This window comes from Homo sapiens, chromosome 10 (genome assembly GCF_000001405.40).
Source record: "Homo sapiens chromosome 10, GRCh38.p14 Primary Assembly".
Taxonomy (NCBI): Eukaryota; Metazoa; Chordata; class Mammalia; order Primates; family Hominidae; genus Homo; species Homo sapiens.
Genome location: NC_000010.11, coordinates 19,729,735 through 19,757,243, shown reverse-complemented (window position 1 = coordinate 19,757,243; position 27,509 = coordinate 19,729,735). Strand labels below are relative to the sequence as shown.

The window sequence follows — 27,509 nt, the reverse complement described above, 5'->3', positions numbered from 1 at the left end:
GGTAGTGGTTTTATGCTTTGCGTAGAAATAAATACTGGCCAGGCTGGTTTTCAGAAATCCTTTTCCATCATTCTTCCTTTCTTTTCAGTTCTGCCTCTAGATGCTGCAGTAGATCAAAGCATCTCAAAAGCAGCAATGTGCTCATTGTCTTTTGAGTCATGGTATGATAGAGAGTGACGAAGAGGAACAAGAATATTTGGAACAGCTACAATAGTATCTATTATGCATCAATCATAGAAGGGCGAGCTGAACTGTGCAGAATTGATATGTGCCTATTGTAGAAGCTTTTTCTGTAACCTCAGATAGAAATAATCATTTTGAACTAGGATTTTTGGGGGGAAGATAGCCTCTGTTGGACGAGCATTTTCAGTGCTGTAGGTGGTTCTGCAATTAATGTAAGACACATCAAATGAGCAATTCAATTTCAAAGAATTGGTTTTAATTACTTTGGCAACATGAAATGACCAAGCATTGAAATGTATAATACCAAGCACTGGTTGGCAGTCTTTTGACTCAGAAATAGTCTATTTTCATATTTGTGTCTTGCAAGCATCGTAAGTGTGGAAAAATGCAAATGTTTCGGGAGACTGCAAGTGGGCATCTGCCAAATAGGTATCCATTAGGAGAAAAATTTCTAGTGCTCTCAAAAATTTTAAAATTTGCTTTCAGAAATTTCTAGATCACAGAAATCCTGTTTGGCACGCGCATAATGTGCCTTGTCTCTATATGTAGGGCACAGGTGACTCTGCATTGTTTTCCTCTGTTAACATTTACAATTTTAAATAAAATGTTCCATATTTTATTCTATTTATTATATGATACAGTATCTCTGAATCTGATATACTCCATCAAATGTTCTTCAAAAAGTGAAATTCCAAGATCCTTTTGTAATCAAAATTTTCTAGAGGAATTTATTTTGTAGAAAAATGTACAAATTTAAGAAAAACTGGTGGATTTCTTTCTGATACTACTAAAAAATACATTTTCTAATAGGCACATTATTAGAATGAAAACTGACCAATTTTAGCAACTTAAAAGGTGATTAAAAAGAAAAAAAAGTCTCATGTGAGAAGTTGATCTTAACTTACAGATTAAGGAATCTATAAGTTCCTTACTATTTTTTACATGTAAGGGAAAGATCTGCCTCCAGACTATCACACGGGATTCTTCCCAAGAAACAGAGCTCCCGGGACCCAAGAACTGTGCAGGCATAGAGAGGGCGTGACCTAAGAATTTCCTACCAGGCGCACTGAGACACTTGGCTTGCCTGGGCAGGTGCAGAGACGTGACTTCTTTCCATCATGGCCACAATTAGACTGGAGTAGACTAAAGAGGGTAGCAAAAGAAAGGACTTAAGCCTCAATTTCATGATTTGACACAGACCGGAACCAATCTCTCTCTCTCTCTCTCTCTCTCTCTCTCGCTCCTCTCGCTATATATATATACATACACATAGACATGTATCTCTATCTCTATTTCTATCTCTCTATATTGTTCTTGAGAATGCTATGCTTTTATCAGTACTTTGTTCTACCATCACTACAAAGTTCTCTGTTAAACTGCACATTTTCTGGACAAAAAGAGTTTTCCTTTTGCGGCCTGTAATGTAACACTGGTGTACAGACATGGGATAGAACTATATATGGGTTTGAATGTGCTACTTATATACCTGGACAGATTTAATGCCATTTAAATGAATAGATTTCCTTCTTTCTTTAGCTGAGAAATCATTACTATTTTTCAGGCACACTGACATCAATTATTATCATTTTTGATATTAATGTGATTATAGTGTCGAGTTCTATCACAAGTCTGCTTTAATTTGACATTAAATACCCTCTACTTCCTGAAATTTGTTTCCATGAGCAGATTAATAATGAACAGTATTGTGACATGTATTTTAATGTGTTTCAAGATTTGTACAGTTCAGTACTTTACACATTTGCATCTGCAGCAAAAGTAAGGTCCTATACATTGATTTGTGAGGAATAACATATCACCTCCTCAGAATGTCTCACCATAGAATGTTCACTAGGAAAGTCAAAGTAAAGTGGAATTGTGCTTATTGGAGTCTACTAGACCAAATGAATGCAAAATTTGCCAAGTAAATATTTATTGTGATCCTTCCTGATTTATTTTAAAAGCAATTTTAATAACTTTGCTAATTCAGTGATAACCTTTCATGAGTTTTATTTTTAAGGTATTTTTATCGTTCTGCTCTTACAGTCTGTTCTCAAAGCACGTAATGCCTTCTGTATTAGTCAGGGGTTTTCTAGAGGAACGGAACTAGTAGTATATATGTATGCATGAAAGGGCATTTATTAAGGAGAATTAACTCACAGGATCACAAGGTAAAGTCTCACAAGAGGCCATCTGCAAGTTGAGGAGCAAGGAAGTCGTGGGTCAGTACAAGTTCCAAAACTTCAAAAGTAGGAAAGCCAACAGTGCAGGCTTCAGTCTGTGGCCAAAGGCCTGAGAGCCCCTGGCAAACCACTGGTGTAAGTTTAAGAGTCCAAAAGCTGAAGAACTTGGGTCTGATGTTCGAGGGCAGGAAGCACCCAGCACAGGAGAAAGATGAAGACTCAATAAGTCTCCCTCATTCCACTTTCTTCTGCCTGCTTTATTCTAGCCATACTGATAGCTGGTAAGTTGGTGCCCACCCAGACTGAGGGTGGATCTGCCTCTCCCAGTCCAATGACTCAAATGATAATCTCCTTTGGCAATATCTTCACAGACATATCCAGGAACAATACTTTGTATCCTTCAATCCAATCAAGTTGACACTCAATATTAACCATTACACCTTCTGAAAATCTATCAATATAATATTTTGACTGGGCATGGTAGCTCATACCTATAATCCCAGCACTTTGGGGGGCTGAGGCTGGAGAATCACTTGAGCTCAGGAGTTTGAGACCACCCTGCACAATGTAGTGAGATGTTGTATCTACAAAAAAATTTTAAAAATAGCTGGGTGTGGTGGCATATGCCTGAAGTCCCAGACTCTTGGGAAACTGGGGTGGGAGGATCACTTGAGCCTACGAGGTTAAGGTTGCAGTGACCCGTGATGATGCCACCGCACTTCGGCCTGGGTGAAAGAGTGAGACCATCTCAAAAAATAGAAAAAAAAAAATCAAATTTTTTTTTTGTTATTTTAATAATTTTTTTTCTGAAAAACTTAACTTGTGATTGATTATGATTAATCCTGAATAACAGGCAATATGCAAAAGTATCTGTAAAGAAGACGTGGAAGAATTATTGGAAACCTGAAGGGATACATTTTTCTAACACATTCCTTGTCTGCATTCCCAGGTCCCCATCTGCATCTGAAGTTGCATTGTTATTCTCTTGTATTCTCAGCCAATTCATAATATATTTCCCACGCATATTATCTATGAACTAATAATGGCAAAAATGGTAGGTTCTTATAACGGTAGTATTATGAAACGAAAGTTTGTGTACACCCAAAATTCAAATGTTGAGGCCCTAACCTCAATGGGATGGTATTTGATATGAGGCCTTTAGGAGATTAATTAATATTAAATGAGGCTATGAAGGTCGAACCCTCATGATGGGATTAGTGCACTTATAAGAAGAGAAACCAGACCGGGCATGGTGGCTAGTCTGTAATCCCAGAACTTTGGGAGGCCAAGGTGGGTGGATCATCTGAGGTCGGGAGTTCAAGACCAGCCTTGTCAACATGATGAAACCCCATCTCTACTAAAAATACAAAAATGAGCTGGGTGTGGTAGTGCACGCCTGTAATCCCAGCTACTTGGGAGGCTGAGGCAGGAGAGTCTCTTGAACCCAGGAGGCAGAGGTTGCAGTGAGCCCAGATTGCGCCACTGCACTCCAGCCTGGGCAGCAGACCAAGACTCCATCTCAAAAATAAATAAATAAATAAAGAAGAGACACCAGCGAGGTTGCTTGAGTGTACACAAAAAAGAGGTCATATAAGGACAAATGGAGATTGCATCCACCTCCAAGCCATGAGGCCTCAGAAACTTGCCTTGTTGGCCCCTTGATTTTGGACTTCCCAGCCTCGAGACGTTTGAGAAATAAATGTCTGTTTTTTAAGCAACCCAGTTGAGGATACATTGTTATAGCAGCCAGAACTAAGAAAAGCACCAACTTATGTTGCTTAAGTTGGTATTCTTTGGTTGTTTAGCAACAGAAACTAACCTTAATAACTTAAGCAAGAAAAAAAAGACACACTGGAAGGATACCAGGGAGCTCTCAGAATTAAAGAGAAAAGCAGAACAACCAGAATCCATGAAGAATATGATGTAGGTTTGCTTTGCGAATGGCCATATCAGGAGTAAGGTCATCATGTTTCCAGGCATTTCTCTCAGGTGCTTCAGCCTTGTTCACTTCATAACCACTTTCCATTCTATGTCTTTGTTTAAGATGCAAATTCCCACTAGAGAGAACTTCATTGACATACCTGGGATTGGTAACATTTATTTCATAATTTTATATCAATCTATATAAGTAACATCTGTCAAAATTATATTTTCTTTGCTGTATTCCAGTTTTTTGACATAGTAAGGCAGGTATCACAATTGAAAAAGGAGAACAATGGTATAGAATTGCTTAAATCGCATGTAAATATCCTTTTTTTTTTTTTTTTTTTGAGACAGAGTCTCACCCTGTTCCCCAGGCTGGAGTGCAGTGGCACAATCTGGGTTCACTGCAACCTCCACCTCCTGGGTTCAAGTGATTCTCATGCCTCAGCCTCCCAAGTAGCTGGGACTACAGGTGCGTACCAACATGCCCAGCTAATTTTTGTATTTTTAGTAGAGACTGGGTTTCACCATATTGGCCAGGCTGGTCTCGAACTGCTGGCCTCAAGTGATCCACCCACCTCAGCCTCCCAAAGTGCTGGGATAACAGGCATGAGCCACCTTGCCTGGCCAAATCACATGTAAATATTTTTCTAGAAGATCTGAAATAATTTCCTTTGAAATCATCTTTGCTTTTGGATTTCTGAATGTCTGCTATAGTTATTACTCCATGATTTCTGTTATCTGTTGCCTCAATTTTTTATTGACATTTCCCTAGAAAATCATAAATTTTACCTAGGTTTTCAAATTGATTAGCCTTCATTAGTACAAATAACTTTTTAAAGTTTCAAAATCTGGCCAGTAGTTGTAAAGCTTTTCCTTATCTCGTTTCTCTTCGTGATTTTCATATTTTCTTTACTTTATTGAACAAGCTGGTAGCTTATCTCTTTTATTACCGTTGAAGTGCATGGGTCTCATAATCAGTTTTAACATATGCCCGTGTGCTATAATTTGTCAAATTTCCCATTTGATCTTTATTAGTCAGTTTTTAATGTAGTCCATAGGTTTGTTATTCTTTTGCCATTTTTAATTGAATTAAATACATAATTAAATTATCCTTATATCTACTGGCAAAATAAGTAAAGTGACAAATCTTCATGTGCATACATCTTTGGTGACATCTCATAAAAGATAACTCTTTGTCACCAATCCTCAAATATATTACACAATCAAACCGTTCTTTTATCTCTTCTTATTAACAGTTGCATCTGAGACAGATTTTAATTTTCCGTCAGGTAAATAAGTTTCAGTTTGGTTTCTACTTAGGCCATAATGATTTCCATTGCTTTTTGAAAAGAGAACATAATCAATTCAGGTGATGTTAATGTATTGATTTTTTTAGGATTCTTTTAATGATCAATTTTTATAAATATTTCATGGAGCTTGGAAAGATGTTTTTGACAGGGTATAGATTTTTATGTGTTTCTAGACTAGCCTTATTATTTATACCTTATACACTTAAGTTTTTGATGTATTTGATTTGCTAATGACAGGGACAATTATGTTTAAATCTCTCCCTAGTATTGTTTTCTACTCAGAGGATTTTTTTCTTTATATATTTAAATATTATGTGATTTGGTAAAGAGGATTCGTGGCAGTTATGCTATCATATTCTTATCATATTCTTTATAAGCATAATAAGAGCTCCCAGTAACACTTAATGATATTTCCTTGGCTTCAGCTTTTTCAAATATTAATTTTCTTAATCAGAATTTGATTTTGCTGACATTTAAAAAAATATGACTTAGTTCACCACTCTACTTTCAACTTCACTTTACATTAGGTGTATGTTTTGTATACAGTAAGTGTTTTTGTGTTTTTAACCAATAAATATTTTTTGCTTTTACTAAAATATCTATGGTATTTATAAATTTTGTTTCCTTTACTGTCATTTTTAAGAGCTGAAAGCATAAAAATTTAGAAAGCATAAAAATTAGGTCTCACCAAATACAGAATATCAACAAATATATTGAAATTATAAAAAAGAACTAAACTAAAATTATGCAGATGAAAAATACAATAACTGAAATTTTAAAAAGATTACTAGAGGGTCTCAAAAGCAGATTCCAGCATGCAGAAGAAAGAAGCCATACATTTAAAGATCATACAATTCTCTAGTATGAGAAACAGAAAGAAAAATAAATGAAGGAAAATGAACAGACTTCAGAGATCTGTGGGAACTATGAAGTACACCAACAACCACTCATGGGAGGCCCATAAGAAGGAGGAAAAGTAAAATGGCCAGAAAGAACATATGAAGAAATATGGGCAAATATTTCTCAAATTTGATTTCAAAGAACTATACACATGCAAGAATCTCAAGAAAAACTCTAGAAGAGAACAGTATAAATCTTCTTGACCTTGTAATTGGCAAGAGTTTCTTAGATATAACATCTAACACACAACCAAGGGCAAAACATAAAGAAATCATACATCATAAAAATAAAAACAAATTGTACATCAAAGGACACGATTAAGGAAGCAAAAAGACAACCCACAGAATGGCAGAAAGTGTTTGCAAATCATCTGTCTGATAAGGGTCTAGTATCCACAATATATAAAGAACACTTACAACTCAACAATTTAAAAATAAGTCCATGAAAAATGGCCAAAGTATTTGAGTAGACAGTTTGTTTTTGGAGCTCCCAGCTAAACTGAGGTTCTAGTACTAGAGAAGCTAGCAACCCGCCCCTAACACAATACAACGAAGAACTAGATGTGGGTGTTTACTCTGTGCTTTTCATGTGATACTTCTTTTACCTGGCAGGTGACCTGAAGCCTTGTTGTCCAACCTGTGACTAGGGGATTGTCTCTCACATGGGAAACGTGTTTACACTGGCAGATGCCCTTGTGGCTCTTCTGCAATGTGTCAAGTTTATGATTCTCTGACTAAGGCTCTGGGGCTAGGAACCTGACCTTGTGTTCTCTTCTGGTGTCCCAAGCAAAGCTCAACCTGGAGCAACCCTTGGTGCTTTAGGTAGAAAGCGCAAATTTAATACACCACCACAATAGGGAACAAGTTCAAAGGTTTTTACTTACAGATCCTGGTCAAGGAGGGTGCAATGAGTCAGAAGGGTGGTCCTTTATCCTTGTATCATGTAGGCAGGAATGAAGAGTCAGGCAGAAAGAGAATGAGCTCATGAAAGTATATATAAGGAAATAGGGTGTGGATCACTTTAAGTTTTTGGGCAAATGCTTGAATAGTGCATTTAAAGGAAGTGGCAGGAAAGAGGGAATCCCAGTCTCCTAGACAGAAAAGGAGTTCCTGAGTTCTCATCTCTGGCCACCAGCTTGAGTAATCTGGGTGTGGTCTAGACTGGACACTGTGTCAAGGGTAAATTAGTGCTGATTCTGGTGTGAGAAAGTTAAACTTGTATTGAAAATGGATACAGATGCAACAAAAAATTTTAAGAATTCATTACACAGATCTCCAAAGAAGATATACAAATGGCTAACAAGCACATGAAAAGATTCCCAACATTATTAGTCATTAGAGAAATCCAACTTAAAACCACAAAACACCACTTTATCACCACTAGGGTGGCTACAATAAAAAACATGGATATTAACAAATCTTTGTGACAATATGGAGAAACTGGAAACCTCATGCATTGCTGGTAAGAATGTAAATGATGCAATCAGTGTGGAAAATAGTTTGGTGATATCTGAAGAAGTTAAAAAATATAACCCAGTAATCTTACTCCTTGATACCTACACAAGATAATTGAAACTACTTGTCACACAAAAACTTATACATGAATGTGCACAGCAGACCTATTCATAATAGCTGAAAAGTGGAAATAATTCATTTTATCAACTGATGAATGTACAAACAAAATATGACATATCTATACCATATAAATATATCCATATATCTATATATTATTCAACAATACATAGTATTAAAGTAGTAGAACACCCTACAACATTGACAATCTTGAAAACATTAGCTAAGTGAAAGAAGCCAGACATAAAAAGTTACATATTATATAAGTTCCCTATTTTTCTGTGAATTCTGCAGAGAAGTAGATAATTTTGTCTATATTAAGTATCTAGAATAGGGAAATCTACAAAGACAGAAAGCGCATTACTGATTGTCAGGTAATGTGGGAAAGGGAGAATTGGGAATAAGGGCTCACAGATATGGAATATGTTTTTGAGGTGACAGAAACATTCTGGGATTAGACTGTGGTAATAGATGCACAAGATGAGAATATATATAAAAATCACTGAATTTTATAATTTATATAGGGGTAATAAGGCTATTGCTCTTTGTAAGTTCTTGGATGATGATGCGTTTAGGCAGGAACCCTGTTAATGGGGGTAAACCTCCTAGGGATAGTAGAATTAGTGGAATTACAGGTGTCAGCCATGCTCATTTGTTTCAGGCGTGAGATAGTGACAGGGTTGTGGTGCTTACACTCAGGTTGAGTGCTAGAAATGCGGCTGTTGTTAAGATAAGGTAAATAATCAGGTTTAGGGTGGTAATATTTGGGTTATAAATTAGTACTGCTGTTATTCAACCTATGTGAGTGATTGAGGAGTAGGCCAGGATTTTACACAGTTGGGTTTCATTAAGTCTCCCTCAACTGCCCACTCTAATGGATAGGATTCTGATAGATAAGGGGATGTTCATGTTTGTTGATGGGAAAATTTGAAACATAATCGAGATAGGGGCTAGTTTTTGTCATATCAGAAGTATACCAGACATTACAGAGATTCCTTGGGTTACCTCTGAGACTCAGAAGTGAAAGGGGGCTATTCCTAGTTTTATTACTAGGGCCACTATTATTAAGAATGAGAATTGATTGATAGTGTTTATAATTTTTCATTGTCTGGAAGCCAGGTTATTGGGAGGGATGTCTATTATAAGAATTATAGATGTGCTTGCTTGTGTAAGGAAATATTTGGTGGCTGCTTCTGTAGAGCAGGGATTTATTTTTTAAATTAAGATTGGAGTAAGGCTAGTTTGTTTATTTCTAGGCCTGTTCAGGTGAGAAATCAGTGTGAGCCTAGCATTGTGATAAGAGTTCCTGTGAAAATAGTAAGAGAAATACTAAGTTGAGCTAAGGGATTAATTAGTACGGGAAGGGTGTAACCTACATTTGTGAGGTATGGGCCCGATAGCTTATTTAGCTGACCTTGCTCTAGGACGTGGTGTAATAGGTAGCACAGAGAATTCTGGATTCTCAGGGGTAGGTTCAATTCCTATAGAACCTAGGAATTATTTCAAATCCTAGAAATAAGAGCATTTTAACCTCTATTGTTTACTCTATCAAAGTAATTCTTTTGTCAGACATATTTCATATGTTTGGTGTGGGATGCTGGAAATTAAGACAGGCATTGAGATATGTCATATGCAAAAATGCTAGTGTAAGTGCTAAGTTTGTTAAGATGGCAGAGCCCAGCAATTGCATAAAACCTAAAACTTTATAATCAGAATTTCAACTCCTCTTCTTAACAATATGCCTATAATTAACCTTCTCCTTATCCCCACTCTTACCGTTATAGCGTTCCTTGCACTCATCAAAAGAAAAAGTTTAGGCTATATACAACCACACAAAGGACCCAACATTGTAGGTCCCTATGGCCTGCTTCAACCATTCATTGATGCAATAAAACTTTTCACCAAAGAACCTTTACCGCCCTCAACATCTACTATTACCCTTTATATTATTGCTCCAAACCTGACCCTTTCTATCGCTCTCCTCTTACAAAGTCCCCTCCCTACGGAGGTTGAATTATGCTCTGAGGTCACCCCAACCACATTTTTTAATGCAGGGATAGTAGGCTAGGGCCTCTAGGCTTGTTTGAGTTTTTATTTGCATTAATGAATTAAAGCTCCATAGGGTCTTCTTGTCTTATTTGTTTATATCCGCCTCTTCATGGATACGTCGATTTCATTGATTAAAAGAGACAGCTGAACCCTTGTGTGGCCATTCATACAAGCCCCTGTCGAGGGAACAAGTGATTATGCTACCTTTGCACAGTCAGGATACCACAGCCATTGAACATATATCACTGGGAAGGCAGTGCCTTTAATACTGGTAATGCTAGAGGTGATGTTTTTGGTAAACAGGCGGGGTAAGATTGGCTGAATTCCTTTTACTTTTTGTAATCTTTCCTTAGAGCATGGCTGTGTTGGGTTAACAGTGTAAATAATAGGGTGCTTATTATATTGTTTATTAATACTAGGCTGTTAACTATCAGTGGGTTATTCCGGTCTGATGTAAGCTTATGCAATGGAGAATGTCTTCGTGATACCTGTATAATAGGCTAAATGGTAAATGTTATGGTATATGAATTATCTCAACTTAAAAAAATCAAAATACAGTTTCATGAATTATCACATAAATCATGGTTGTGTGATAGCTTCTAAGTCAAAAAGTAGGTAATTGTCAAGATCTCCTTTTCATATTTTCTTTCATAATTTCACCACCTAGACTTGCACACCTAAATACTATATTACTAATATATATGTTTTTGCATCTATCCTCTTTCCTGGACGTTGTGTTTGTGAGATTCGACACTGTTGCATATACTATAGTTTGTTCATTCTATTGTTCTATTTTATTACTATGCTACACTTTACTTAATGTATTATACAGACACACACACGATTGACAGATATTTGGCTTTTTTCCTATTTATCATAATGTGGTGATCATTATTCTTATATATGTCTCTCAATCCACATATGTATGCAATTTCGTATACTGGTTGCACATTTTATTGGAGACATATATATATATATATATATATATATATAATTCCTGGATTGACATATATATGGAATTCCTGAAGGGGGTGAATGGTGGGTTATGAGGCAACCATATGCTCAGCTTTAGAAGATAATGACACATTTACACTCTTAGCAGTAGGTATGAAAGTCTAGTTGCTTCATTTCCTAGGCATTGTCAACAGTTTCTTGGCAGCATCCTTGGTATTTGCCAGTTGTCTTAGTGAACTTGGGCTACTGTAACAAAACACCATAGTCTGGTGGCTCAGACAACAGAAACATATTTCTCACAGTTATGGAAGCTGGGACGTCTAAGGTCAACGTGCTGACAGGGTAGGTTTCATTTTGAAAACTCCTCTTGGCCTTAGGCAGCTGCCATCTCATTGTGTGCTCACATGATCTATTTTTTTCGCATGCAAGGCATAATGGAGAGCGAGACAGAGAAATAGAGAGAGACAGAGAAAGAGAGAGACAGGCAGAGGCAGGGAGAAAGAGAAAGAGAGAAAGAGACAGAGAGGGACACAGAGAGAGGTTTCTCTGGGTGTCTTTCATAAGGCCACTAATCCCATCATGGTGGTCCCACTCTCATGACCTCAGCTAACATTAGTTACCTCACAAACGCCCCATTTCCAAATGCTATCACATTGGGGGTTAGGACTGAACATATGAATCTGGGGAGACACAGTCAGTCTATAACACTAACATTTAGTATTGTCAGTCTTCTCAAATTTTAGCCATTCTGCTTGGCAAGTGGTAGTATGTATGAACCAATTATCTAGTGCTACCTAGTTGTACATTTAATTTGGATTTGCCAGATAATTTACAAGGTTAGGATGTATTCATATGATTACTTGCTCATTTTGTTTTGTGAATTTCATGTTCAAGTGTCTTGCTAATTTTTCTGTTGCTTTTTTCTTATGGATTTAGAGTTAAAAAAAAATATGTTCTGGCCAGGCATGGTGGGTCATGCCTGTAATCCTAGCACTTTGAGAGGCCAAGGCAGGAGAATCACTTGAGATCAGGAGTTTGAGACCAGCCTGAACTACATCCTGAAGTACTGTCTCTCCAAAAATAAAAATAAAAAAATAAAAAGCACACACCAGTAGTCCCAGCTACTCTGGAGGCTGAGGCAGGAGGATTGTTTAATCCCAGGAGATTGAGGCTGCAGTAAGCCATGATTGCACCATTGTCCTCAAGCCTGGGTGATAGAGTAATAAAAATATATTCTTTGTATATGTATCTTATTAGTTGTATGTAGTTCACTCTTTTTCATCTCTTAATGGCATCTTGTTGAACAGAAGTGTCTAAATTTAGTATCATCCAATTTATTAATCTTTTATGGTTAATTTTGTGCTCATTTAAGAAGTCTTCCTCTTATGGAGATAACAATCATATTTTTGTATAGATCATATTCTAGGTCATTCTAGGAGGTTTAGTGTTATGTCTTTCACATTTAGACGGACAGATGCTCCTCCACTTATGATGGGGTTACATCCTGATAAACGCATTGCAAATTGAAAATATCATAAGCCAAAAATGCATTCAACACATTCAACTTAACAAACTTCATAGCTTGGCCTAGTCTACTCAAGACATGCTCAGAACACTTACATTAGCCTACAGTTGGACAAAAGCACGTAACAAAAAGCTTGTTTTATAATAAATTGTTGAATATTTCATGTAATTTATTGAACACCATACAGAAAGTGAAAAACAATGGTTGTGTGGGTACTCAAAGTACAGTTTCTACTGAATATTCCTTTCATAGCATTGTAAAGTCAAAAAATCCTAAATGAAACCATCATAAATTGGGGAACATTTGTTCAATAAAACCCACCTGGAACTGATATTCACATAAAGTAGGTGGGGGATGTCAGGTTTCACTAATTTTTCTGCATGGAAACAAAGCTTTAGCCCATCATTGAAAATGCCCTTTCTGCACTATTTTGCAGTGCCCCATCTGTTGGAAATCAGATATCCCTCTGTGTGGGTGTCTATTTCTGGGATATGTATTCTTTCCCTTTGGTTTGTCTATCTTTATAGACAATATCACAATGCGAAAATTATGCTAACTTTATATATGATCTTCAATAAAGAATTCCTCACACCACATTCTTCAAGACTTTCTTGGCTAATTTTAGGTCACTGCATTTCCTTATACATTTTAGAATCAGTTCCTCAGGTCTTTAATATCTGGCAGAAATTTGGTAAGAATTTAACTGAATCTTTAAAGATCAATTTGAAAAAAATACATAGTATGTGTCTCTATATGTCTTCTTTAATATCGCTCATTAAAATTTTTAAGTTATATGTGTCTTTTGTAAAATTTATTCTAATGTATTTATTTTTAACTTATGATTTTACTTAATTATTTTATATTTGTTTCAAGATCTATAGAAATTAAACATTATATATTAATTGTATAACTAACAAACCTAATAAAGTCAATAATTAATTTATTAACCTTGAAATTGTTCTAAACTTTCTGTGTAACCAATCATACTAGCTGTAAATAATTACAGCAGTTTTTTCCTTTTCAGTCCTTATAACTTATATTTCTTTTTCATGTCTTATTTTCTCACTAAGATACCCAGTAAGCAGTTAAAATATCTTGAAAGAAGTGGCAATAGTGGGTATACTTGGCTTATTCCTCATATCAAAGTGAAAGTTTTCAACATTTTACCATTAAATATGCTGTGAGGTTTTTTTGCAGATGCCTTTTATTATATTAATAATGTTAACTTTCCTTCATTTCCTAGTTTTCTAAAAATTTTTATTATGAACAGATGTATTTTACCAAATGTTTTCTATGCACCTATTATAATTATCATGTACTTGTTTCTCATTCCGCTAATGTGTTGAGTTACACTGAGGTTTTAAGTTAAACCAAACTTGCATTCATAGAGTAACTATAAAAACAGATATATATATATATATAATATATAATTTATAATATATATATACACACATACATATTTGGTTATTCACATATATCATGTATTTATATTATATCACACATTTATATTATATATATTTATTACTTCACATCATATATGACATAATATATATTATATGCATACAACGCTTCACATTTGTGTTTATATGTAACATTGGTCTAAAATTTTTCTTTCTTACAATGTCTTTGTCAGGGTTTGTATCAAAACTATGCTGTGCTCATGACATGTATTGGGAAGTATTACATCTTTTCCTGTTCTTTGAAAGTACTTGTAGAAGTTGGTCAATTCTTAAATGAAATGAAATTAAATTAATTAAATGTGATTAATTTTTTTTTTTTTTTTTGAGGTGGAGTCTCACTCTGTCACCCAGGCTGGAGGGCAGTGGCGTGATCTCAGCTCACTCCAAGCTCCGCCTCCCAGGTTCACGCCATTCTCCTGCCTCAGCCTCCCAAGTAGCTGGGACTACAGGCTCCCACCACCATGCCTGGCTAATTTTTTTGTATTTTTAGTAGAGGCGGGGTTTCACCATGTTAGCCAGGATGGTCTCCATCTCCTGACCTCATGATCCACCCATCTCGGCCTCCCAAAGTGCTGGGATTACAGGTGTGAGCCACTGTGCCTGGCCAAATGTGATTAATTCTTAAAAGTTGCTAGTGACAGAACAGGAATTAAAAGAAATTAAAGAATGTGTAAGCAAATACTCAGTTGTATGTAAGAAAATCCAATTCCTCCTGAAGAAGAGAAAGAGCTGGAGTCCTTTAAAATTAACTGCCTGTTTTTCTGTGGCTAGTGAGCCTTATCTCTCCCTTTCCCAGGCATTGTGAAGACCCTGTTTCTCTAGCAGTGCAGCTGCAAGGTCACTAGGCAGATAAACTCAAGTCGTAAAACATGTTGTTCCTTGAAAAGTAAGAAATGATGTAATGCATGTCTTAATTGAATAACTGTCTTTGTTTCTCGCTTCTGTAATATGCTTCCCCCTGCACAGATCTCCCCCTGCCCCACAAAATGCTTAAAAGGTAACCGGACTCTTTGTTCGGGGCTCAGTCCTTTGGATGTTAATCCGACTGGGTGGGTGCACCTAAATAATTAAATAATTCCTCCTCAACCCCTCGGTCTCTCTGATTCCTTAATTATGCTGCTGCAGTGAAACTTACGAACTTAGAATTTGTTGAAGGAAGATTATTTAACATGAATCAACTACTTTGTTATAGGACTACTTAGCTCTTATATTTCTTATGTTTGTTTTAGAAAACTTGCATTTTTCAGAAATTTATTTCCACTGAATTTTGATTATTTTTGTCATAAAGCTTTTCAATAAACATTTTACTTATCCTCTTAATGTTTGTAAGATCTGGGGTGATTATATCATTTTTATTTCTGACATTGGCTATTTGTGCATTGTCTTTTTTCTCTGATTTTTAAGTGTTTATTATTCATTTTGTAATTTGTTTTTGCCAGAGGTTTATCAATTTTTGTCTCATCAAGGATTTATCACTGTTTTCATAAAAGCAATATTTAGTTTTGTTTACCGACTTTATTTTATATGTGTTTCTATTTCATTAATTTCTTACCTTGTATGCTTGAAAAAACTCCAGTACTGATGAGAGAATAATTATGAGGCTGGCATCTAGAAGGTAGATGTCCTAGGAGGATAGATGGGCAATGGCCACATTATACACATTGTTTGTTACTCAGCTGTCATCTCACTTCCTTATTGCCTTCTCTTACTTCTTTCACTATAAAAATTCTTTAAAAAGATTTGTCGAGGCCGGGCGCGGTGGCTCACGCCTGTAATCCCAGCACTTTGGGAGGCCGAGGCAGGCGGATCACGAGGTCAGGAGATCGAGACCATCCTGGCTAACACGGTGAAACCCCGTCTCTACTGAAAATACAAAAAATTAGCCGGGCGTGGTGGCGGGCACCTGTAATCCCAGCTACTTGGGAGGCTGAGGCAGGAGAATGGCGTGAACCCGGGAGGCGGAGCTTGCAGTGAGCAGAGATCGCGCCACTGCACTCCAGCCTGGGCGAAAGAGCGAGACTCTGTCTCAAAAAAAAAAAAAAAAAAAAAAAAGATTTGTCGAACAAATTAATAGCAAGTCAAGTTTTGTCACAGTGACTAAATCTTTTCTTTAACCATTAGTTTATGGTTATTAATAGATTAAATATTTATGTAATAGTTTTAGTAAGAAACTGGATAAAAAAACTAGATTTGTCATTGCTGATCTATTAGGATGGCATTTCTTTTATTAGCCCTAAATTATATTACACTGACTGCAGATAATTATGCTAATTTAATGAGCAGATTTCTCAGTAACAAAACTCTGGATAGATATTATGAAGTTTCAAGGAAGCTACCTCTAAAAGAGCCAGACCACGCCTAAATAAATAAGCAAAAATTTAAATAATTAGAAAAACAAAAACTCTTTATTATTGCTTCTCCATTCTAGAGAAGAAAACGTGCTTTTTAGAGCACTTTACTTTCTCAGAATGTTTAATGACATGTATCACTGTGAACTTTTAAGTAGGTCCTTAAATATTATAATCATTTATTTTTTGTTCACGCATACTCAAATTGATTCACAGATATAGAGTCCTTTAATTCAAGATATAGCTTGTACCTAGTTTCATTAAAATTTCACAAGTGGATGCGTGTAGAAAGTGGTGCCTTTCCACTCGTAATTAATTATTTAAAGAGTAGGTTCTTGAGTTTGATGATTACTTGCTTTAGGTACTAACCCTTGCATTGGTTTTATAGACATATTAACAATGAAATGCAAAGCATTTTGCAAGTTGACACAAAGAAAAGCAAAATCACATTAGGAATTGCAAAGCTGTCATTGGTTTGACATTGAAACATACACTTATGTTTGATTTTTTTTTTTAAAGGCCATTAGGGAAAAAAAAAGTCCAGTCTTTTTATGTTTCATGATGAATTTTCCCTGGTTTTTATTTATAGGAATGAAATTTAAGACTACTTATAGCAAAAAACATTCCCCTGGATATAGTAATTCGTTTATCTAAAGGTATACCCTTAAAGCCAAACACAATGCAGTTAGTATTTCAAGGAGAACGTGAATCTTCAGTTCTTTGTGTGATAAATATGAAAAATGATTGAAGAACAGGAAGCTAAAAAGGGAAAAGCAAACTCTTACATAGTTTTTTCAATGTTCCATCTAAATATAAAAAGGAATATTCAAAGATGATATGGATATAATAGAATGACATAACACATTTATATTGTGAGAAAACATTAAAATGAACTTCACATACATTTGCTTTCAGCTCAATATCCTTTGTATTATTTTTAATTTATTATCATGTGAAAACTGGCTGTTTCTGGTTAAAATACACATACTGGGAAATAATCAGAGCACCAATTAGGTGGATAAAGACTACTCTACTATTTTTTTTTTTTTTTTTTTTTTTTTTTTGAGATGGAGTCTTACTCTGTTACCCAGGCTGGAGTGCAGTGGCGCGATCTCAGCTCACTGCAAGCTCCGCCTCCCGGGTTCACGTCATTCTCCTGCCTCAGCCTCCTGAGTAGCTGGGACTACAGGTGCCCGCCACCACACCCGGCGAATTTTTTTGTATTTGTGGTAGAGATGGGGTTTCACCGTGTTAGCAAGGATGGTCTCGATCTCCTGACCTTGTGATCTGCCTGTCTCAGCCTCCCAAAGTGTTGGGATTACAAGCGTGAGCCACTGCACCTGGCCTACTGTACTATTTATAGTACATTATTTCAACATTGTTCTAAGCTAATGCTCACCAAAATAACTTATTGGGATGATGGCAACGTTCTCTAGTTGCCCAATATAGTAGCTACTGGCACATTTAGCTACTGAGCACTTGGAATGTAGCTAGTGCGTCTGAGGAACTACATTTTAGATTTCATTTAATTTTATTGACAGATGGAATCTAATTAAACTAAAGAGCTTCTGCACAGCAAAAGAAACTATCAACAGAGTAAAAAGACAACCTGCAAATGGAGAAAATTTTTATAAACTATGCATCTGACAAAGGTCTATTATCCAGAATCTATAAGAAACTTAAACAAATTTATAAGAGAAAAACAAACCCCATTAAAATGTAGGTGAAGGACATGAACAGACTCTTCTCAAAAGAAGACATACATGCAGCCAACAAGCATATTAAAAAAAAAGCTCAACATTACTGATCATTAGAGAGATGCAAATCAAAACCACAGTAAGATACTATCTCACAACAGTCAGAATGGCCATTATCGAAAAGTCAGAAAATAACTGGCAAGATGTTGACGAGGTTGCAGAGAAAAAGGAATGCTTATGCACTCTTCATAGAAGTGTAAATCAGTTCAACCATTGTGGAAAGCAGTGTGGTGATTCCTCAAAGAACTAAAAACAGAACAACCACTTGCCCCAGAAATCCCATTATGAGAGATATACCCAAAGGAATATAAATTGTTCTATTATGAAAACACATGCACACATATGTTCATTGCAGCACTTTTCACAATAGCAAAGACATAGAATCAACCTAAAGGCTTGTCAATGGTAGACTGGATAAAGAAAATGTGGTACATATACACCATAGAATAGTATGCAGCCCTAAAAAAGAATGAGATCATGTCCTTTACAGGAACATGGGTGGAGCTAGAAGCCATTAACCTTAGCAAACTAACATGGGAACAGAAAACAATATGCTTAAGGGTATGCATATTATCACTTGCAAGTGGGAGCTAAATGATGAGAACACATAGTGGGGAACAACAGACACTGGCGCCTATTGAAGGGTAGAGGATAGAGGGAGGGAGAGGATCAAGAAAAATGGGTCCTAGGCTTAATACCTGTGTGACAAAATAATCTGTACAACAAACTCCCATGACACAAGTTTACCTACATAACAACCCTGCACATGTACCCCCAAACATAAAAGTTTAAAAATATATATGTAATTTTAAGTAATTTAAATTTCAAATTAAATAGCCACATATGGCTAGTTACTACAGTAGTATATGGTATGTTATTTACATTTACATGAGTTAAAATACATAAAATACTTAGAACAGTATTTGGCAGATAATCCATACTTACTTGTGTTTCTTGTTGCTGTTGTTATATAATTGTATGCTTAAAGTATGTTTTGAAAAATAGGTTGTATAATTCTGGGCACTGTACACTGCTGGTTTTCCCTCCTTACACCTTTGCCTATTTTTGCAAACACAATGGTGCAAATTTGGACTTATGCCAAAATGTTCTCCAAAGAAAAATGATGCAAAGAAAACTACATTCTTCATTTCTGAATCTCATATCAAATAAAGAAAACTGAACAAGGGCACTGAAACTATTTTACATATTGAATAAGAAAAATCAGTTTTATTTTTTTGGTTCACAGAATTGCAATCTGTATTTATAACACCTTATTAACTACTTGCTTTAAGCAGTTTAGGGTGCATATAACTTGCACCTGAAGAAAAATTTAAATACCCTTAAGAGTACTCTCCTTTGGGTGTATACCCAGTAATGGGATTGCTGGGTCAAATGGTATTCCTGGTTCTAGATCTTTGAGGAATTGCCACACTGTCTTCCGCAATGGTTGAACTAATTTGCACTCCCAACAACAGGGTAAAAGCATTCCTATTTCTCCACATCCTCTCCAGGATCTGCTGTTTCCTGAATTTTTAATGATCACCATTCCAACTGGCGTGAGATGGTATCTCATTGTGGTTTTAATTTGCATTTCTCTGATGACCAGTGATGATGAGCTTTTTTTCATATGTTTGTTGGCTGCATAAATGTCTTCTTTTGAGAAGTGTCTGTTCGTATCCTTTGCCCACTTTTTGATGGTTTTTTTTTTCTTGTAAATTTGTTTAAGTTCCTTGTAGATTCTGGATATTAGTCCTTTGTCAGATGGATAGATTGCAAAAATTTTCTCCCATTCTGTAGGCTGTCTGTTCACTCTGATGATAGTTTCTTTTGCTGTGCAGAAGGTCTTTAGTTTAATTAGATCCCATTTGTCAATTATGGCTTTTGTTGCCATTGCTTTTGGTATTTTAGTCATGAAGTCTTTGCCCATGCCTATGTCCTGAATGGTATTGCCTAGGTTTTCTTCTAGGGTTTTTATGGTTTTAGGTCTAACATGTAAGTTTTTAATCCATCTTGAGTTAATTTTTGTATAAGGTGTAAGGAAAGGGTCCCGTTTCAGTTTTCTGCATATTGCTAGCCCATTTTCCCAACAGCATTTATTAAATAGGGAATCCTTCCCCTATTGCTTGTTTTTGTCAGGTTTCTCAAAGATCAGATGGTTGTAGATGTGTGGTGTTATTTCTGAGGCCTCTGTTCTGTTCCATTGGTCTATATGTCTGTTTTGGTATAAGTACCATGCTGTTTTGGTTACTATAGCCTTGTAGCATAGTTTGAAGTCAGGTAGCATGATGCCTCTAGCTTTATTCTTTTTGCTTAGGATTGTCTTGGCTATACAGACTCTTTTTTGGTTCCATATGAAATTTAAAGTAGTTTTTTTCTTATTCTGTGAAGAAAGTCAATGGTAGCCAGATGGGGATAGCATTTAATCTATAAATTACTTTGGGCAGTAAACCATTCTACTATAAAGACACATGCACACATATGTTTATTGCAGCACTATTCACAATAACAAAGACTTGGAACCAACCCAAATGCCCTTAATTGACAGACTGGATAAAGAAAATGAGGCACATATACACCATGGTATACTATGCAGCCATAAAAAAGAATGAGTTCATGCCCTTTGCAGGGACATGGATGAAGCTGGAAACCATCATTCTCAGCAAACTAATACAGGAACAGAAAACCAAACACCACATGTTCTCACTGATAAGTGGATGCTGAACAGTAAGAACACACGAGCACAGGGAGAGAACATCACACACCGGGGCCTGTTGGGGGGCGAGCGGCTAGGGGAAGGAGAGCATTAGAGCAAATACTTAAGGTAGATGAGTGGTTGACGGGTGCAGCCAATCACCATGGCACATGTATACCTATGTAACAAACCTGCACGTTCTGCACATGTAGCCCAGAACTTAAAGTAGATTTAATTAAAAAAAAAAAAAAAAGAGTACTCTCATTTCTGTTCTTTGTTGATTTTCTGTCACTAACCTGTATTTGGGGCTCCTTGTATGTCATGAATTCTCTCAATATCCCTGTGAAGCAGGCCAGTTGATGTTGTACAATAATCTTTATTATCTTTTGTGTAAGGAATTGCATTTTCCTACATTTTTCATGTAGTAGCCTCAAGTTCTTTACTGAGACCACAGCTGAATTTTAATTCTATTCTTTTTAAAAGAATACTGTATGCTTAAGCAAAGATTCTGAATCTATGTGGATAACATTAGTAGTTTTAAGCTAAAACAAATGCAGCTTTCAAAAGTGCATATGTCCCACAATGCCAAGATTCAGACTGAGTCAAGGACAGGAACAACACCTGCTACTACTACTGATCTTTCCTTGTGTTAATATTTCTCAAATCAAAAACGTTGGTGTCAATATGAAAGCAGCAATTAGAAAAAGATAATACAGAGCAAAAGAATAATGCATTCAAAAAATTAATTTAGATAAAATTTGAGATCAATTTACTGCAACATTGATGAGAAATAATATTTCCCTGCCAGACTATACTTTTACAAAAGACACTAATAGAATAATGAAACTTACATGGTATACAACTGACTTTCTATTCGGCTTAGAAATATCCCAGATTATCACGTGGTAGTGACTCCGTCTTCAACGCCTTTTCTCCTCTTCAACACCTTCAGGGCAAAGCCTGGGCAGATTGTTAATCCATTCTATCTAAATCCACTGAAATGATTGCAGGACACATTACTAGAGAGAGGAACATTTCTCTCCTTTAGATGCTGATTGCTGCCTAATAGATATAATCCCCTTCAACTTTCCTAACTTCAACTTCGTTTAAGAACCTACCGTCATCTGCTTCACAAGGTGCTTCACAGCTACTCTCAGCGGCAGGGGGTATAAGTGAAGAGTTCCAGCCAATCATGGTGGCCTCATTGCCTTTGAAGAGATTGGCTTAGCCTGAGCTCCACGTTTATGCTGGCCAATAAGAAGAATGCTGTGGAGGGAAGTGCGTGGGGGAAGGGATTTTTTTGCTGGTAAAACATGAAAAGCAGAAAGAAATGGGCCTTTCTCTGCCTCTGAACTTTACTGCGAACACAACGATGCTGCAGCTCATGGAGCCCTCATCTAACCTGTAGGAAAGCTAACCTGAGAGCACAGGCTGGGAAGTGAAACTCATCAACCAATGAGGTCCTTACTGGGGTCATGGAAGTGTTGCAACGACCATCGTTAAGAGGGGCTCCATCTCCTAATTTCCTGGTTTGGGGGGTAATTATTGCCACATGATTCAAGACATTCGCTTGGGGAGTTTTCAGTTTCTTGTAGCTACAAGCTTCTTAACTCATAGGTTTAGCATTATTTTTACGTCTATAGAAAAGCATTAAGTAATTATTTGAAAAAGGCAAGAATAGGAGGATAATTTATCACATTTTTTTACAAAGTGCTGAAACAACTTATGATTATGTTGCCTTGGATTTCTTTGATTTGTTCATTTCTGCCCGTGTGTACACCAAGTCAGTTCACCTGTGTTTCTAAGCTATACGGCAAAGAAAGAGCATTTTAAAACTTCTTTATATTCAGAATCTGAAACAAATTCATTCATCATTTAAAAAAAGATAAAATCAAAGAAAAACAAGAAACTTGATTAAATAGAAATTTTATTAAAATATTCAGATGTTCAGTGAAGATAAGGTACTGATTCTGATTCCATATAAACATTCTCTATATTCTGCAAGAAAATTCATTCATAAATGTTATAATTACACTGGCATTTACAATCCTTTCTCTTTTTACCATTGTAGAAGATGAGTTTCTATCAGATTGTGGAGACTTCAATTTTCTAGAAACTACACATGTTGGATCAGACTTGGTCTCGATGCTGCTATTTGAGATGATGTGACAGGGTCTCCAGGCTTCCTGATGTTGTGCCATATAATGGGTTTGAGAAGGAATAGACAGAACTCTGACGAAGAAAAACACATTTGAAAGGGTGGAATTTTAGGCATTAAGATAAGAAAACTCTTTAAAGATCACGCAGAATGCAGCAAAGGTCCCAATGGATTTTCACTGGAGTAATAACTAGAACATCCCTGACTCTTCTTCCAGCACCTACAGCCCACACTGCTTGAGTTTCTGACACAAGCCTAGATTCCATGTATCCTGGGGTCCTCAGGACTTAGGCACCACTGCCTCACCTCTGGTCGGGTGGGGAAATGCAATGACCAATATTTCGACTACTGCTTTCTCTGGTGCTGGTTTCACTAAGCCTTCTGTATTGAATATAGTTAGGTTAGACAAAACAAAACAAAACCAATGCCTTTAAGTAAATAAAAGCATTTTATATAAGTTTAAATGCCATTTCATTTAAGTTTCCTGTAAACTATAATTATATATATTATATATATATATAATATAAAACGTGGGAAATTCTATAGGACAAGCAATCTGGTTTCTTCAACAAATAATGTGCAAGAAAAAAAAATAAGACAGAATGGAACCTAGAGATGAAAAGAGATTTAAGAGCCATATCTACCCATTTGGATGCATATACCTTCTAAAATTTCTGATTTTTAAAATATAGCAACAACACAAAACCCCAAAAGAAAACCTTTTAGGTTTTAATGAGACAATTGGGGTAGGATGAATACTGAATGTTTGATGGCCTCAAGACATTCTTGTTAAATGTTTAGGGATGATCCTGCAGTTACATTTTTAAAAGTCCTTGTCCTTTAAAAACACAACTGAAGTCTTTACAGTTGAAATTAAATGATATTTGAAATTTGTTTGAAAACCTTCTGGAGGGTGAGGAAATGGAGGGCAGTAGAGGTGAAACAACAATGACCATGGGTTGACAGTCCTTGAAGCTGGCTGATGGGCACGTGGCAGTTGCTTACAATGAATATTGCCATGAATATTGGCATGAATTGCCAACGAATGTTGCCATGAATATTCTCTCCATTTCTGTATCAGAATGTGAGAGTTTTCTCCAATAATTTAAAACATAGTTTGAAAGATAGACTTAGAGAAGTCTATCTTTCTGATGATGGGGAAAGTAGACCTAGTTTAATCAATACAAAGTCATTTGTTTCTGAAACAATAGAAATCAAAATAGCCACAAAGGTCAGGAGATGTGCCAGGATTTCTTCTTTAGCCATTCATAATGAAAGGAAAACAGAAAATGAAAAAGGAATTTTTCTTTTATCGAAATAGAAAATAAACATAAATCACTTCTGAGGTGCTCTCAAGTCATCCATTACACCACCACACTCACACACAGTGGAAACCATTTTGAAAGCAGGTTGAAAGGTGGGTCTTTGATGGAGGCCCCTTCCTGTACTTGCTGAGAAGTACAAATCTGAATGCAACAGAATCCATCTCAGTAGAAAGTAAAGAATCCATAATACCTATCGAGCCACTTTTTAGTTACTACAAGTTTATGAGGCACTAATACAAAAAACATAAAATTGAAAAGATCTCACTTTAATTCCTTATCTCATGTGTACCTTTCAGACACTAAAAGTTAAACTAAGCTGAGGATAAAAAATATTAAATGTTCTGGCCAGGTACAGTGGCTCACGCCTGTAATGCCAGCACTTTGGGAGGCCAAGGAAGGCGGATCACCTAAGGTCAGGAGTTTGAGATCAGCCTGGCCAACATGATGAAACCCTGTCTCTACTAAAAATACAAAAATTAGCTGGGCATGGTGGCAGGCGCCTCTAATCCCAGCTACTCAGGAGGCTGAGGCAGGAGAATCACTTGAACCCAGGAGGTGGAGGTTGCAGTGAGTCGAGATCACACCATTGCACTCCAGCCTGGGTGGCAAGAGTGAAACTCCGTCTCAAAAAATAAATAAATAATAGATTTTCTTTCTCCAGTAAAAATGAAAATATATTTATATTACACCATCCTATTTTGTCAAAAAGATATATTACATTTGTTTTCTTAAATGTGTATGTGTTTTTTTATCCATGAAGTAGGTCTCCCTTTTCATTTTTACTCTGTCTTGATTTACTTGTCGAATCATCTAAATTCATTTTCTCTGTGCTTTAGGAAATCATTTACTTCCCGTTTTCATTCCTACCAAAACAATACTAAAAGTGTGTATCATATCATTATTGATTAAAACACAAAAATTAAAAAGTCAAGTGCTTTGTTAGGCTTCGGCCACAGCACTCAAGGCTCTTAAACTACCAGAAACCACCTGACCTGATACCTTGCTACTCATTTTCATAACCAGGAACAAGATAAAAAACTGTGACCTATTTTCATAAAGAAAGAGAATAATTAAAACTTTAGCTTTCTATAATACTCATTTTATAAGGAGTGAATTTTATATAGCTCTAAACTCAGATGTAATAAAACTTTTACAGTTCGGAAGTGGTGTGTCATAACTAAACTTACTTTATATCCAGATGAATTCTCATAACACTTACTTAAGAAAGGAATGGGAAAATAAAAAGAAAGGAATGAGATATTGATCAAAGAGTGCAAAGTTTTTGTGCAGGATGTATAAATTCTGGGGATCTAATGTATAGCATGTGACTATAATAATGTGTGATATACTCAAAATTTGCTAAGAGAGATCCTAAATGTTTTCAGCACACACACACACACACACACACACACAAAGTAAACTATGTGAGGTGATAGATATTTTAAATAGTTTCATTGTAGTAATCACTTCACAATGTATACCTATAGTAAAATATAATGTATACCTTAAACATATAAAAGTTTTGTCAACTATACCTAAAAATGACTTAAAATATAAAAAATCTAAAAAAGGAACAAGAAAGGTTTTCCTTGCCATTTTCTCCCTGCTTATAAAAATAAGGGGTAGCCCCAAAAAGGGCCAAGGAAGATGTAATACATTCTCATTTGTTTTTTCTCTTCTAAGTTATCAGGTAATGGCCCTCACTAGTCACCCTAAATTTAAACAGAACATAGAATGCTATCCTCTCTTTTGTTTTTGAAAATAAAATATGAAAGACATTCAATGAATAGTTACTGTAAGCAGCTGACTAATACTCTGTGGGTTAAACTGATATTTCCCAGATTTTTCAGCTCTTTTTGAGTATAAATAGTGACCACAACACCATTTAACAGTGAAGTGATCTTACAAGCAGACTGAAACTGTCCTGAAATGGACAATTCTCACAGCATATTTATAGAGATGGAAACTCCTTTCTATCCCCAATTGAAATAACTCCACTAAAACATTTCTTTTAGTTATGATGTAGAAACATGATCAAGCAACACTGGTTCAGCCTGTGTGTGTGTGTGTGTTTGTATGTGTGTGCATATGTGTGAAAAGATATAGTTCACCCTTGCCACTTACCTCTGTTTTCTCTGGGTTGCTCCAGTTCCCGTAAACTGGATTGACAAAGGCACAGTTACCACTTCCCTCGGTTTTCCTTAAAGCACACAGGGCCATCAAAAATAAAAAACTATTGACATTTACCATAGTACATTTTCAGGTTATTGTTTGTTAGAAACTTTTGAGAGACATGTTGTCTAGCCAGCACACTTATTTTCATGAATGTATTACCATAAGTAAAGTTTGTTTTTTATTTTTTATTTTTTGCAGGACACCAAGGCAACCACATTCAGGAAAGCAAATGTAATTTGAACTCTGAGTGTTTAGATCCAAATAAACTCAGGCAAATAAAAGAAATTGCAAAAGTTAGTCTTAATGTTGATTTCTTAAAATATTACTCAGTGCAAAGTGTCCAACATTAGAAAGAACAATGTAATATGAAGCTGTACTAGTGATAAAGAAAGGCCATCTTGAAGTCCTTTACACTGCACAGTGCCAAACCACTACATCCTGAAGACTGTTTTCCATGACAGTATCTGTCATAAAGATCTGTAGCACATGAGTCATAGTCTTTAACATTTTAATCAGCAAATTTAAATACAACTGTTTTGAAAAGTTCTTTAGGGTAGTGTTTCATGAAACTCAAAAACAGCAAGCCCTTGGTAATATCACATATTGGACTACATGTGCATAATTCACTATAATTAACTGGGCTCCATATGATTATTTTCCTTTTATACTTTACTTAAGAATTAATAGACTTATAGGCCGGGCGTGGTGGCTCACGCCTGTAATCCCAGCACTTCGGGAGGCCGAGGCGGGCGGATCACGAGGTCAGGAGATCGAGACCATCCTGGCTAACACGGTGAAACCCCGTCTCTACTGAAAATACAAAAAAATTAGCCGGGCGTGGTGGCGGGCGCCTGTAGTCCCAGCTACTTGGGAGGCTGAGGCAGGAGAATGGCGTGAACCCGGGAGGCGGAGCTTGCAGTGAGCCGAGATCGCGCCACTGCACTCCAGCCTGGGCCACAGAGCGAGACTCCGTCTCAAAAAAAAAAAAAAAAAAAA

At 36.2% G+C, this 27,509-nt stretch overlaps 1 protein-coding gene and 3 pseudogenes across 8 annotated transcripts in view; 2 read left to right on the top strand and 2 right to left on the bottom strand.

Annotated features, from left to right (window-relative positions):
* Window positions 8,455–9,422, bottom strand: MTND2P16 (MT-ND2 pseudogene 16; annotated as a pseudogene).
* Window positions 9,491–9,565, top strand: NMTRQ-CTG1-1 (nuclear-encoded mitochondrial tRNA-Gln (CTG) 1-1; annotated as a pseudogene).
* MTND1P37 (MT-ND1 pseudogene 37) lies at window positions 9,809–10,072 on the top strand (annotated as a pseudogene).
* The window catches only part of MALRD1 (MAM and LDL receptor class A domain containing 1), a 687,552-nt gene continuing 682,808 nt past the window's right edge, over window positions 22,766–27,509 (bottom strand). For all 8 annotated transcript variants that reach the window (XM_011519453.3, XM_011519455.3, XM_011519454.2 and 5 more), the window contains 2 exons: window positions 26,463–26,538; window positions 22,766–23,087 (listed from right to left, as the gene is read on the bottom strand). In XM_011519453.3, the coding sequence (XP_011517755.1) occupies window positions 23,007–23,087; window positions 26,463–26,538 (157 nt within the window). In that variant the 3' untranslated portion in view covers window positions 22,766–23,006. The remainder of the gene's footprint in view (window positions 23,088–26,462; window positions 26,539–27,509) is intronic.